Here is a 14,317-nt window from a genome sequence, read left to right on the forward strand (position 1 = left end):
TGCACTACCACCTTCTTAGAGAAAACCAGTCGGACCCTCCAGGCCTGTGGCTGGTTCTTGCTTTCTGCATCTGAACCTGTCAGTGAGTCCAGAGGAGGGCTCGCCAGGACTGTAGCCAAAAAACAAGAGTCCCATACGTGCACTAGAGGGTCCAAAGAGAGCGCAGTCGGCGGGACACCTCCTCCTTAATTTGGGCCCAGGATGCCACACAGACCTCCGGAGCTTACCTGCTCTTCTCCTTGGAAGGGACAGATCAGAGCTGGAGGGGCTTCGAGCTCCCTCTAGGGGCCAGCGAGACCTGTGCCAGCCCCAGAGCTGCAGCAGGCCCCGAGGGCAGGCGCTGAGGCCTTTGCTCTACAATGGGAAGACGGGAGCCGCCCTTCCCCAGACCCCACTGGCTGGGGATGAACAGAAGGCTCATAAAGAAGAGTTGTTCCAAAAGCTTGCCCTTCCTGGGACCCAGTGAATCCCCCATTGCCTCAAGACGCAGGGCGGAGAGCTGATCTGCTCAGGATGTCTGGAGCGAGCGGGGCTCATGGGCAGGCGAGGGTCTGGGTGTGAGGCAGGCGGCGTGCGAGGCTTGCCTCCCTGCAGACTGTCACGCTGGGGGTCTCACTCCCCTTCCTCGTCGCCCCTTCCCAGGAGAGTGGACACAGGCTAGGACCCCAGGCCTGTCTGCAGCGTGGCCTCCGTCACCGTCTGTGGGATCCTGGGCCATCAGGCAGCTTTCCTGGGTCTCAGTTTTCCCATGTACACCTCAATAGCCACAATATGGATTAAGCTGTCCCTCCACGCCAGGCCTTTCCCGCATCACAAAAGCTCCACGGCTCCAGTGCTTAGTGGTCATCCCCATTGTAGAGCTGAGGGAACTCAGATGCAGAGAGGTTGAGTAACTTGCCCGAGGTCGCACAGCCAGCCCACACCCTTGCGAGGCTTTCCGACTCCAGAGGCCACATGGAGTTCTATGCGTGACCCTTCCTCTACACTCTTTCTTTCTGGAAAATATTATTTTAGAGACAGCCTTGAGCCCAACACTTCTAGGATCCTTAATTGAGCCCAACACTTCCAGGATCCTTAATCTGCAAGGATGTAGAAAAAGAAGCCTAAATGATCCCTGAGTTTTGAGAGGCTGTGCAGATAAACTCATCACCCCTGAGCAAAATGGAAAGAGTGAGGAGTGAAGAGCAAGGGCACAGTGGGACAGTGATGGGCTGCCCAGGGTCCTGGCACTCACAGGGTAGAGAGGTCAGCAGGTCTGGGAACTAGAGTACGCTGGATCCCTGGGTGTGCCTGCAACCCCTCACCAAGACACTCCCTGAAACATCCCCAGGGAAAGACCCATCATGGCCTGAGCTGCAGCCATGAAGATTTAGGGATCATGTGGGAGAGAAAAGTTGGAACCAAGGGCCCACACTCCTCAGGAGGGGTGCCACCCCACCTCTCCTCACACTAACCCAGCTCTGCAGTCTTGGCAAAGTCCTGGGAGAATGAACAGAGTCCCCCATGCTCAGCAGCCAGGAGTTGGCAGGAGGATACTGCCATGGACCCCTTACATGGCCACAGCCAAGGAGAGCTGCTGTGGGGCACACCTGCCCTTGTGCAGGGCCAAGAGTGACCTACATGGCTGTTCCCCACAGGGCGGAGACCCGGGAGAGTCTCTCTAGCCTCTTTTTCACAGCCTCCCCTGAAGCCACTGGCATGTGGCCAGCGAGACCCACTGCCCTCAGAGACCAATATGTAGCCACTGACCTCTGTCAGGAGAGAAGCCAACCAGCTCTTGCTCTCTGCCCACTTTGCCACCCCTACCATTATTTTTGGGGCCTTTTAATCCCTCCATAAACCCACCTCATAAAGCAGAGTATCAGTGCTTCTCAGCAGTGTCCAGACCCTCCCCCAGAGGACCAGATCAGGAGGGAAAGGAGGAGGGACTGAGTCCTACACAGTGGCTGGCACCCCTCCCTTACCACTTGGGCTAAAATCCCAGTTCTTTCCGTCTGGGCCTGAAGATCTGTTATAAACTGTCCCATCCCTCATGACCTCAGCTTCAGCAGGGGAGTCCAGCACCCGGAATCCAGGAAGAGGCAGGAAAGCGTCTGCTCACATGAGGAGTCACATCCATTGCGGTGCAGGCCCCCGGAGGGGTCAGGGCTGCTGTGCTGTTCCCATGTTCCCAGCTAGGACCCTGAGCCTCAGACAGGGCCACCAAGCAGAGCCAGGCCAGGAGCCCGGGCTCCTGATGACACACTTTTCCACATGTCCATCCCACACACTCCCAGTCAGCCCCTTGCTGTCCACTCACCCACCCCATAAACACCTGCAGAGCACTGAGGCTGGACCCTGCGGAGGCTGCCTGAGGCATCTGAAACCAGCCAGGTTCCCCATAGAACTGATGTTTATGGATTTATTTTCATAAACATAGAAATTGACCCTCCCAGTCTTAAAGCATGAAACTTACATTTGTCTTATCTGAGTTCCTTTCCCAGGAAACCAACCTTCAGGCCTCCTGGATAGTATCAAGAAACTGAAAATCCTCTTCTTTACCCCTCTGGAAGCCTATTCCTTACTACATAAACTCCCAATTTTAGTCAATTGGGAGGATGGATTTGAGACTGATCTACTGTCTCCTCAGCCCCAACACCCGAAAAAGCCTTCTTCCCTGGCACTACTCATTGTCTCGGTCACTGGCTTTCTGTGTGGCAAGCAACAGGACCTAAACCAAAACCTGGTGTTTTGGTAACACATCTGTAGAGTCTAGGCAGGAATCTGGACCAAGTGCTCCTTGGGGTCAGGAAGGGCTCAAACTTGCTGGGCCCCCCTTATGCCCAGAAATGCATATACAGTGGCCTCGGGTCTGGAATTCTCTCCCACAGGGCCCAGAAGAAGGCTGGGCCACAGACACAAGGAGGAGTATGAAAATGCACTTGTGTAGCCCACATGATTAAATAACAGGGACCACACACACACATTGTGCCAATGTCAAATTCCTAGTTTTTTATATCGTGCCATAGTTATGTAACAGTGGAGCAGCAAAAGAACTAACAGCACTCACTCCATTTTTGTTTAAGGGGCCTTTACCTGTTCCTGCAGGTCAGCTAGAATAATTTTAAAGCACTGAGATAAAATGCAAAAATTGCATTCATGTAGTTCTTGAAACTGTATTAGTCCATCTTTGCATTCCTTTAAAGAACTACCTAAGACTGGGTAATTTATGAAGAAAAGAGGTTTAATTGACTAACAGTTTTGCATGGCTAGGGAGGCCTCAGGAAACTTACAATCATAGCAGAAGGTGGAGGAGAAGCAAATACCGTCTTCACAAGGCAGCAGGAGAGAGAGTGAAGGGGGAAGTGCCACTTTTAAACCATCAAATCTCATGAGAACTCCCTCACTATGATGAGAACAGCACGGGGGAACCCCCCAACCCTCACCATGATCCAGTCACCTCCCACCAGGTCCCTCCCTAACATGTGGGGATTACAATTTGACATGAGATTTGGGTGGGGACACAGAGCCAAACCATATCATTCTGCCCCGGCCCCTCCCAAATCTCATGTCCTTTTTGCCTTTCAAAACCAGTCATGCCTTCCCAACAGTCCCCCAAAGTCTTAACTCTTTCCAGCATTAACTCAGAAGTCCAAGTCCGAAGTCTCATCTGAGATAAAGCAAGTCCATTCCACTTATGAGCCTGTAAACTCAAAAACAAGTTAGTTACTTCCAAGATACAATAACGGTACAGGCATTGAGCAAACGCTCTCATTCCAAATTGGCCAAAACCAAGGGGCCACAGGCCCCATGTAAGTCCAAAACCTGGCAGGGCACTCATTAAATCTTAAATCTCCAAAATAATCTCCTTTGACTCCATGTTTCATATCCAGGGCACGCTGATGCAAGGGGTGAACTCCCAAGGATTTGGGCAGAAACTAACTCTGCGATTGAAGGGGAAGTGTGTAAATAATTGTGTTTTGTTCAAGATTTATAGGAGCACTGTGACCTGACCTAGGACAGAGGAGTTCCCAACCTCCTGGGACCTTCACAGGCACCCAGATGTCTGCAGCTGGTCACACGTCTTGATCCCAACTCCCTTCTTTTCCCCCTGCCCTCAACATCAAAAGAGCCTGAAATGTGTGCTGACTTGAGACGACCTTTGTGACACTAACCCACTGTCTTCTCAGGTTGCTGTCTCTTGAATAAACCTGCTTTTCCTTCTACCAAGTCTTGTCTCCCAAAGTTGGCTTTCAAGTGTGGAGCAGCTGAACCTGGGTTCAGTTCCAGTTTCATAAGATGTGACCAGGAGAAAAGCAAGTGAAGGGTGCACTGGTTTTCTATCTTTAGGGACCTCTCTTACTGCTGTCTTTGCAATTTCCTGTCAATCTATAATGATGCCAAAATAAAAACCGATTTTAAAGTCCTCACAGGGAGGTAAGACTGTGAGATGTTTCTGTGGGATGGTGGTGTCTGCCAGGAAACTGACCAGCTGACCTGGTGAGTCTGCCAAGAAGGTGCCAAGCTGTACAGATGCTATCCTGGGCAGCGTCTTCCTGCCCCAGGCTCCAGTTCAGGGCATGTCTCGCGGTTCTCTTCTTGTCCATTGCTGCCAGTTTGCAAAGACAACCCCATAGGAGAACATAGGCTCCTCCATGTGAATAGAAGAGACCCTGATTTATTTCTTGGATGGGGAAAGATCTTGGAGGGGCTGCAAAGACTTACAAGAGGACAGTGGGGAAACGATTACATGTCAGGGTGTTTCATTGTCTGGGGCCTCAGCAGCCCAATTTACTGTTCCTGGGAGGATCAGAACAAGGGCCATGATAAACCAAGGACTGGAGGTGAGCAGGGGTGGATGTGAGAGGGACTGGTGTCAGGAGAAATTTGTGCAAATGGCTCACAACAGGGAAAATCTCTAGTTAAAAATAGGCTAACATCATTCCCAGCAGCCCATTCCTTTCCCACTGTGCTCCCCAGGAACAATCCCACTCATCATGATAAAATCTGGGGAAAGAGAAAGGCTGGAGGGCACCACCCCCCCGCCCCTCAGTGCAGTGTTCCAGGGCCTGCCCACTGCCTGGGGAGGCGATGCCAGCACTCATCTCACAGCAGAGCATGTACCATCCTGTGCCATCCTGAGCACTCCTTGCACACTGTCATTTCCTGCCCATATCAACCCTCTGAAGGAGGGCCCATTTCCCAGGTAAGGAAACCGCGGCCGAGAGAGCTTACGGAACTCATTTGAGGTCACGCAGCCAGGTCTATCTGACCTCAGCTGATTCTTTGAAATGCTGTGTCAGGCTGCCCCCAGCAGTGACAAAGGTGACCTAGGATGGAGACATATTCCTTTAAAACAGCTGGAGTCTCCAGGGGTCAGGATGGATGCTTGAGTGATGGGTGCAGGCAGCCGGGCCCAGAAACCCTAAGGTGCTTTCTCTGCCATTACTCAGAGCCCCTCGATGTCCCCCCAACCCTTTCCAAAGTCCCTCAGCCTCCATCATGTTTGATCCTGAGGAAGAAGAGGTCTGTCCAGCCCCATTTTGCAGATGATGAAGCTGAGGCCAGAGTCTCACAACAGAGCAGACACCACATCAGGCCTTCTGACTCTGGGCCGTAGAAAGGCTCTGCAGAGAGGAGGTGTGGGGAGGACTCCTGTGAGGCCTGGCAGGGCATGGGATCCCCTCTAGCAGTCTCAGGCTATAGGCAGCAGAGGCAGAGAGTGAGCCTGGCAGGGGTTCTGGAGCTCCTGGCCTCTTCCTCGGCCTAAATCTCGGCCTTTGCAGCATGCGCATGTCAGCTGCACCTCTGACCTCACCAGGGGCTGCCAGCTGACTCTGATTTACCTGGAGCTTCCTGCTTCAGGGACAGTGAGGAGCCAGCCGGCCTCTCCTGGATCTGCACCCAGTGAGCTCCCATTCCTACCCTCCCTGGGGCCTGGGAGCTCAGGGAAGGCACTGGGCTGGAACAGCAGGATGGGCTGAGCCCATGGGCCATGGCACTGGGGACCCAGGTTCCTGTCTCCCCCAGACCACTAGATGACTAACAGTGAAACAGCAAAAGAACTAACGTCACTCACTCCATTTTTGTTTAAGGGGCCTTGACCCATTGCTGCCCACAGGCTAAGATAATTTTAGAGCACTGAGTTAAATTACGCAAAAACAGCAATCATGTCGTTTTTTTTAAGCTAACACTGAGGCTAAAGGGAAGTCTGTCAACAACCAACTATGTTTTGTTAAAGATTACAGGAGTATTGCCACCTGACCGAGGACAAATGTGTTCCCAACCTCCTCGGAACCTCGCTGGTGCCCAAACGTCTGAAGTCCTCTACCACCTCTTAATCCCAGCCCCCTTTTCTTTTCCCTGCCCTTAACTTAAAAAGAACCTGAAATGTGTCCTAACTAAAGATGGTACTTTAGGACGCTAGTCCGCCATCTTTGTGGTTTGCTGGCTGGTCTGAATAAACCTGCTTTTCCTCCCACCAACTCTCACCCCTTGTGTTTGATGTTTAAGCAGTACACAGCCGAACTGGGTCCTGTTACAACTGCAGCTGCTTCCCATATCTACGGGATCCCCATTGGTGTGGTGCTGACCGCCTGGAAGTCCTGCAGGGACTCCTAACTGTGAGGCACGTATCCCAGGAGCAGGTCTTGGCCTGGTAAGACTGTCCTAAGTCAGAGGCTAACAGAAAGCCTCCAGCCTGGTAGGATTTGAAAGGGGATCCTGGAAAAGTCCCCAAAACCTCCCAACTATGCCTGAAAACTCAGAGGTCTGCAACAGCCCCCAGCCCACCTGAGGAGGAGGTCTGCATTACTCCACCTCCAGGGCTGTCTGTCTTTTATCAACCCGGATGCAGGGGCAGCTTTCAGGGATGCATGGTATGGGGCGGATAGGAGCTACTGGGATGAGAGCGGGGCTGCAAGGGGAGGGGGCAGACTTCCCTATCCTTGTCCTACTTCATTCTCCCTCCATCCCTGCCCGGTTCATGCTCCCATTCCCACTTCACAGATGGCCCGGCCACAATGGTGAGGGGTGGCTGAAGCCAGGATTCAAATCCACATTACCTCACTCCCGAGCTCTTTTCCCCATGCAGGACTGCAAGGAAGAGAGGATGGATGGACAGGTCCACATTGTCACCAGTCCACCACCGTGGCCCCTGGGACACAGAGCCCCCACTCAGCCCACCTGGTCTGCCATGGACAGGATAAGTTAGCAAAAACCAAGATGAACAAAAAATATAGGAAATCTGACTATAAGTTAATAAATTTGATTTGCTACAGAAAATGCATCTACTTTTTCAGCATTCATGACCAAAATAAATACTTTTGACCACAAAAAATACCCTCTATAAGTTCCAAAATCATATAAAATGATATGGGCCACATTCTTTCATCACAATATAATAAAACTAGATGAGAATAATTAATGTTTAATGTTAAAAACCTAATCATTTAGGGTTTTGTGTGTGTGTGTGTTTGCGTGTGTGTGTGTTTTGGTTTTTTGTTTTTGTTTTTTTTCTGAGACGGAGTTTCTATGTTGTTGCCCAGGCTGGAGTGCAATGGTGTAATCTCAGCTTACTGCAACCTCTGCCTCCTAAGTTCAAGTGATTCTCCTGCCTCAGCCTCCCAAGTAGCTGGGATTGCAGGCGCCTGCCACCATGCCCAGCTAATTTTTTGTATTTTTAGTAGAGACGGGGTTTCACCATGTTGGCCAGGCTGGTCTCGAACCCCTGACCTCAGCTGATCCACCCACCTCGGCTTCCCATAGTGCTGGGATTACAGGCATGTGCCACTGCGCCTAGCCCATTTAGGTTTTTTTAATTTAAAAAATCTAAAAGTCTCCTACAAAACTCTTGGGTTAAATAGAATTTGCACACTATTTAGAAAAGAATGACAATCTTAGCATCAATCAAAGCTTACAGGATTCAACCAAAAGTAGACTCAGAGGAAAATGAATAGCCTTGTTTGATCTCATGACTAAACGAGAATAAAAATAAATGAACTGAAGAGTCTACTCAATCATTAGAAAAAGGAGATAAAATGTAGCACAAGAAAGTAGGAGAAAGAAAGAGGCTTCTGTCTCCACCTGAGCAAAATAAATGCTCAGGTTCCCATTTCATTTACCCACAGACAGTTTGCACACAGTAAGGCAATACAGATGCTTGAGACTCTGCTGTAGATCATTTTACTTATGGAATCTGTTTAAATAAACATTATAGAATATTTCCTGACATCAAAAACTATTTTCTACGTAAAATTATTTTCTATGTAAAACATTAAATGAATGTAGCACAACTTCAATGTCAGAGCCAGACTAAAACTTGTGAATGAGTATCCTTGACCCCACCCACTAGAACAAGTCCAACCAATCAGACAGAAAAATCTCTGACAGAACACCTGCGTGTGCTCTCTCTCTCTCTCTCTCTCAACCCCAGATGCCAGATTCAAAAACTAACTAAATCACCACCATACATATAAGGTTTGTTGTAACCAACACAGATTATTTGAAAAGGTGAACCGATGATGGTGATAATTAGGTGAATTCATACTAACAATAATCATTAAATATTAAAAGTATAATTTATTTTACAAAATTGCCCATGCAAGGCCAGGCGCGGTGGCTCATGCTTGTGATCTCAGCACTTTGGGAGGCCGAGGCGGGCAGATCACAAGATCAAGAGATCAAGAGCATTCCGGCCAACATGGTGAAACCCCATCTCTACTAAAAATACAAAAAAAAAAAAAAATTAGCTGAGCGTGGTGGCACGTGCCTATAACCCTAGCTACTCAGGAGGCTGAGGCAGGAGAATCGCTTGCACCCAGGAGGCAGAGGTTGCAGTGAGCTCAGATTGCGCCATTGCACTCCAGCCTGGGTGACAAGAGTGAAACTCCATCTCAAAAACAAACAAACAAAATGTCCATGAACTGAAAAGACCATAATGAGGGCAGAAAGCCTGAATCAAGTACTACAGAAAGTTGAAAATGAGCGATTTTGAGGAACACAGCATGCTGTCTGCATGAGTGTGGCAGAGGAACCCGCTGACTCCAGTGCTGGCTGAGGTGGGCCCCCTGACACGTTAGTCAGGGCAGCTGACTCCCTGGCACCTGTGACCACAGGGCGCATGACTGAAGACCGAGAGCCTCCTTGTGCTTGTGGTGGTGTCTCCTCTGCCAGCAGTCAATGAATAAACTCCCTGGGGACAGAGGCCAGACCATGGAGCCCTCCAGGAAGCTTACTGTCATGTGGGGCCTGAAGTGAGTGCACGTCAAATAATAATCTCTACAAAACGTTAGCACTATTGGAAAGATCCCACTCTTATCAAGAAGCAAGGCCAAAATAATAAGAGATGCTGAGGAAGTAGGGGAGGTGGAAGAGGAGGAAACGAAGGACAGGGAAAAAGAAGAGGAAGGGAAAGAAAACAGAAGGAAGAAAAGAGGAAAGGAAGGAAAAACGGAAGAGAAACAGCATATTATATGCGAATGTCTGCTAGCGTTCCATTTGAACACACCTGCTAAGCAATTTTTAGAATCCTTCAGTGTCCACCTCAGAACCTTCCAGATCATCCTCATCTCATATGATCCACCCTTGGCCTGCAGCAGTGATTGTCTGTGTGACCCACACATGTCTGTGTTGATTATAATTAACTTAATAACCACTTTATTTTTAACAAATTTATTGAGGCATAATTTACATACCATAAAATTCACTCAAAATTACTTTAAAGAATGCATCATGAACAACGAGAAAAGAATGTCTGCAAAGTTCTTTGGGGACCTGCAATTAAAGCATGCACTGAATTGCACCTGCCCTGAGAAGTGGCTGCCATGGACTGGACCCTTTGATCCGCTTTTTAAGAAAGAGCCAAGGGCATGTGGATTCCAGGGGGCAGGTGCGACCGCATGTGCTCAGGTTCCTGGACATTCTTGCAGTACACAGAGCAGCCCCACTTCATCGCACATATTATTTCTCTGAACACTGCTAGAAAGGATTGTGGGCTATAATTAGAATGATGCCCCACAGGATTACATTCACAAATGTAATTACATAATCATTTAGAGCTGACTGGCACAGGAAACGACATTGCTTCCTAAGTGTGGAGTGAGGGGAGGTGCTGGGCACCTCTGGTGGAGCTGGGCATTCTGAGACTCCTTTCTCATGCCAGCTGAGCCCAGAAACAGTTGGAGATGAGTCCAAAGATCCGTAATTCTTCACTGGATTTGTCTTGGTCATCAGTCTGTATCCCAGGGTCCCAGGTTTGGGGTTACACACAGTGCAAAACTACCCACTAGTGGCCGGGCACAGTAGCTCATGCCTATAATCCCAGCACTTTGGGAGGCCGAGGCAGGCAGATCACCTGGGGTCAGGAGTTCTAGACCAGCCTGCCCAACATGGAGAAACCCTGTCTCTACTAAAAATAGAAAAATTAGCCAGGCATGGTGGCACACACCGATAATCCCAGCTACTCAGGAGGCTGAGGCAGGAGAATCACTTGAACCCAGGAGGCAGAGGTTTCAGTGAGCTGAGATCGAGCCACTGCACTCCAGCCTGGGCAACAGAGTGAGACTCAGTCTCAGAAAAAAAAAAAAAAAAAAGTACCCACCAGTAACGGTTGCACCTTGAGTTGTTGTTTCAAAAATTTCCAGCAAAAAGCTCATCTCTGGTAAAACAAAAACTGATTGGATCCAGAGATGAACTCTGGGGAACTCTCCTAGTTACCATACTAGAATCCATGGCCAGAGAGGAGGCTGTTTTCTCTACATGCAACATATGTGGAAGCATGATCTACGATCGCCTTGACTCCGCCTCTGCATGCAATGACTCAGCTCCCCAGCCCAATGCAAGCCCTGCTTTCTCCAGTGTTTAGAAAAGCACTGCTCTGGGAACGATCCCCGGTGTTGTGAGTAATAAAAGCCAACATGGTTGTGGTCATTGCACTGCCGACCACCAAGCCATCAAACCCACCCATGGTGTGGGTGACAAGTCCACCACAGAATTTCATGGATGATGTGGAAACTTCCCAAGACGCCCCAAACTGGACTTCTCCCCTGGCTCCTGTTAAACGCACCAGGAAAGTGACAACGGGCTTGGCATCCATCTGTTCTTCTTGTTTGTTTGATAGAAATCCTGTCTGTGGCACATATGTGATTGCAAGCACAGAGTGCCGGCCACATTAGAAAAGTGCATAGTGTCTGTTGTCTTACTCTCCTGAAGCCTGGGCGGCACTCAGTCCTTTGGAGTTTCTCCAGCGTTGTCTAGCTGCAGGTACTGAGTCCGTCCTATTTCACACAGAGATCAACGTGGCGACACACGCCTGGGCTTCCTGACACATCCTGATCTTGCATCACTTCATTCTCTCTGATGGCAGTGATTTTGTTCAGTATGCCCCACTTTCCACAATTTTCTAAGATCTTCCATATATTTGCATGCATGACTGAGAAGAAAATATCTTTTGTTGGTCCAAGTGTCCTAAATTTGGGTCCAAAAAAAAAAGTGGTAGCTGTATAAGTAGACCACATCTTTTGAAAACCATGATGATAAATCACATTAATTTGGACCCCATTAATCTGGACTATGTGCTAATCCCATAGGCCTAAGAGGAAGCTTAGCTTAGAAGAAAGGGTTTGCTTTCTAAGCAAAGAAAGATGCAAACAAGCCACAGCAAGCGTAACCTACTTAGAAGCAGATGCTGTCCTTAAAGAAAAAGGTGTGCAATAAGCTACACTGCCTGTGAGTCCTAAACCCCAGCTCATCCTCCACCTTCGCCATCAGCCAGCCTACCTACAGTGTCCTATGAAACTCGAGTCCCTCACCCATTCCAAGCAACCACAGCACTTCCTCCAAAACTGGCATCAGAAGTGGAAATGCTCCTGGAGGCTCCCTGGTCCTGTAGCCTCCTTGGGGAAACTGAAGCCCAGAGAGGGGACGGAGCCAGTCCAGAGTCACACATCCAGCAGGTCAGCCTGGTGATTAGAGCTCAAGTTTTGACTCCTCCAGACTGAGTTTTTAAACTCAGCCTGGACTCTTACTTGGGGATGTTAGACAAATTCCTTGACCCCATCGAGTCACCATGTGCTCATGTATGCACCGCAGAGGGAGGCAGGAGCCTCCCTTCCCACTGAGGTCTGGGTAAGACTGGCCTGAGCTCCAACTCTGTACTCTGTGTAAGTCCAAGGCCCTCCCCAAGATCACTGCAAATCCTTGTGCTCATCCCTGTCCCAGAATCCTGCTTCCCTGACACTGTCTCTGTTCCTCACCACGTTGACTCAAATGAGAACACCCAGCCCCATCCTCAACATGCACACACAACTGTTTGTTTGTTTGTTTGTCTGTAGATGGAGTCTTGCTATGTTGCCCAGGCTGGAGTGCAGTGGTGTGATCTCAGCTCACTGAAGCCTCCACCTCCTGGGTTCAAGCCATTTTCCTGCCTCAGCCTCCCAAGTAGCTGGGATTACAGGTAACCATCAGCATGCCCAGCTAATTTTTGTATTTTTTAGTAGAGACAGGGTTTCACCATGTTGGCCAGGTGGGTCTCTAACTCCTGACCTCAGGTGATCCACCTGCCTCGGCCTCCCAAAGTGCTGGGATTACAGTAGGCGCAAGCCACCGCTCCTGGCCGCACACACAACTTTCTAAGTGTTGCAGGCTTTGTTGAAGGGAGTAGACTTGGGTTGTGTCCTTAGCAGGACAGAAAGAGGGCCAGGGTTTTGTACTCCTTTGTCACTCAGCTGTGAGCTATGGGGAGCAGGGGGTGTAGTGAGAACAAAGTGATTCTGGGGTGTGTTCATCCACTTTGTGTTGCTATAAAGGAATACCCAAGGCTGGGGAACTTATAAAGAGAAGAGGTTTGTTTGACTCATGGTGCTGCAGGCTATATAATAAGCATGGCACCAGCATCTGCTTCTGGTGAAGCCTCAGGAAGCTTCCACTCACGGTGGGAGAAGAGGGAACAGATGTGTCCTGTGGTGAGACAGGGAGCAAGAGAGAAAGGAGGAGGTGCCAGGCTCTTTTTCTAACCATCAGATGTCCTGGTAACTAACAGAGCGAGAACTCACTCATCACCAAGGGGACAGCACCAAGCCGTTCATGGGGGATCCACTCCTATGAAACACCTCCCCCCAGGCTCCACCTCCAGCATTGGGGATCACAGTTCAAAATGAGACTTGGAGGGGACAGACATCCAAACTATATGAAGGGCAACAGCCAACACACAGCAGCCAGGGCAGGGAGCAGCAGCTCAGGAACTGGGGCTAATCTGGGCACCACCAGTACCTGCCGCAGGGGAGGAGGTGGAGATGGGGCTCTCTAGCTCTCATTGCAAAGACACACTTAGCATCAGGCACCACTGTTCTTAAAACAGCCTTGGCCTGCACTCTCACCCACATCCACACCACCCTCACACCCTCTTGCCCCTTTCCTCAATCCTCTGCCTCTCTTTCTCTCGTCTCCCTCCCTCTAGAGAACAACAACAAAAAAAAAACTCATTTTCTTCTGCAGAACAATTTAATCATTCTTTAATTCCTCTGTTGCTGAGCTGCTGCCAACACCCTCAATGTGGCGACCCCCATCCCAGGTTGCCAGTTTTAGAGCTGAAAGTCCCCCATCCCAGGAAAACCCTCAGTCCCAAGCAAACTGGAACAACTGGCCACTCTCCAAACTGCTCTTCCAGCAGCCACGGTGGCTCTCCAGGCTCCCTCCCAAATGGACAGTAAGTAGGAACTGGCTAAGACAGCTAATCATCTTTTCTTTTTAATCATGAATGGGTGTTAAATTGCATCGAATGCTACTTCAGCCTCTATTTGGAGTCACATGGTTTAATCTACCAATGGAGTAAATTACATTAGTAGATTTCCTAATGCCATTCCTTTGTTGCTGGAATAAGTCACACTGGAACACGCTGTATGTATTTTTCTTGTGATCACATTCTTGATTTGATAGACTAATATTTTATCAGTAATGTTTGTTCCTAAATTGAGTTTCATTCACCGTAGTCTTTGGCCGCTTTTCTCTGATGTTGGTGCCTGGAACAGACGTGCCTTTTAAAATGAGTGTGAGAGCACTCCCACTTTTTCACACCTATTTCCTTCCTGCCTGGTCTGGGGGCATGAGTGACAAATGAAAGAAGAAAGGCATCAAAAGACATAATATAGGACATTTGTTTCAAGGTGAAGGACTTTATGTTTATATCCAAAAGGCACAACATGTTCAAGAAAAATTTATTGGAAATGACGAGCATCAGGAAATACAATGGTTAAAGAAAGAAAATAATTCTTCATGCACTCACAGAGGAAAAAGAAGAATTTTCGGGGGAAGGGAGGACTCATAAAATCATGCTGGATTC

The 14,317-nt window shown here is 49.1% G+C and overlaps 2 long non-coding RNA genes across 2 annotated transcripts in view; both read right to left on the reverse strand.

Moving 5' to 3' along the window:
• Positions 1 to 14,317, reverse strand: part of VSTM2B-DT (VSTM2B divergent transcript) — a 238,742-nt gene that overhangs the window by 191,535 nt on the left and 32,890 nt on the right. The window lies entirely within an intron of this gene.
• The window catches only part of LOC124904683 (uncharacterized), a 41,102-nt gene continuing 36,420 nt past the window's right edge, over positions 9,636 to 14,317 (reverse strand). Inside the window, exon 2 of the long non-coding RNA XR_007067215.1 lies at positions 9,636 to 11,445. This is a non-coding gene — a long non-coding RNA (uncharacterized LOC124904683). The remainder of the gene's footprint in view (positions 11,446 to 14,317) is intronic.

This window comes from Homo sapiens, chromosome 19 (assembly GCF_000001405.40).
Source record: "Homo sapiens chromosome 19, GRCh38.p14 Primary Assembly".
Lineage (NCBI taxonomy): Eukaryota > Metazoa > Chordata > Mammalia > Primates > Hominidae > Homo > Homo sapiens.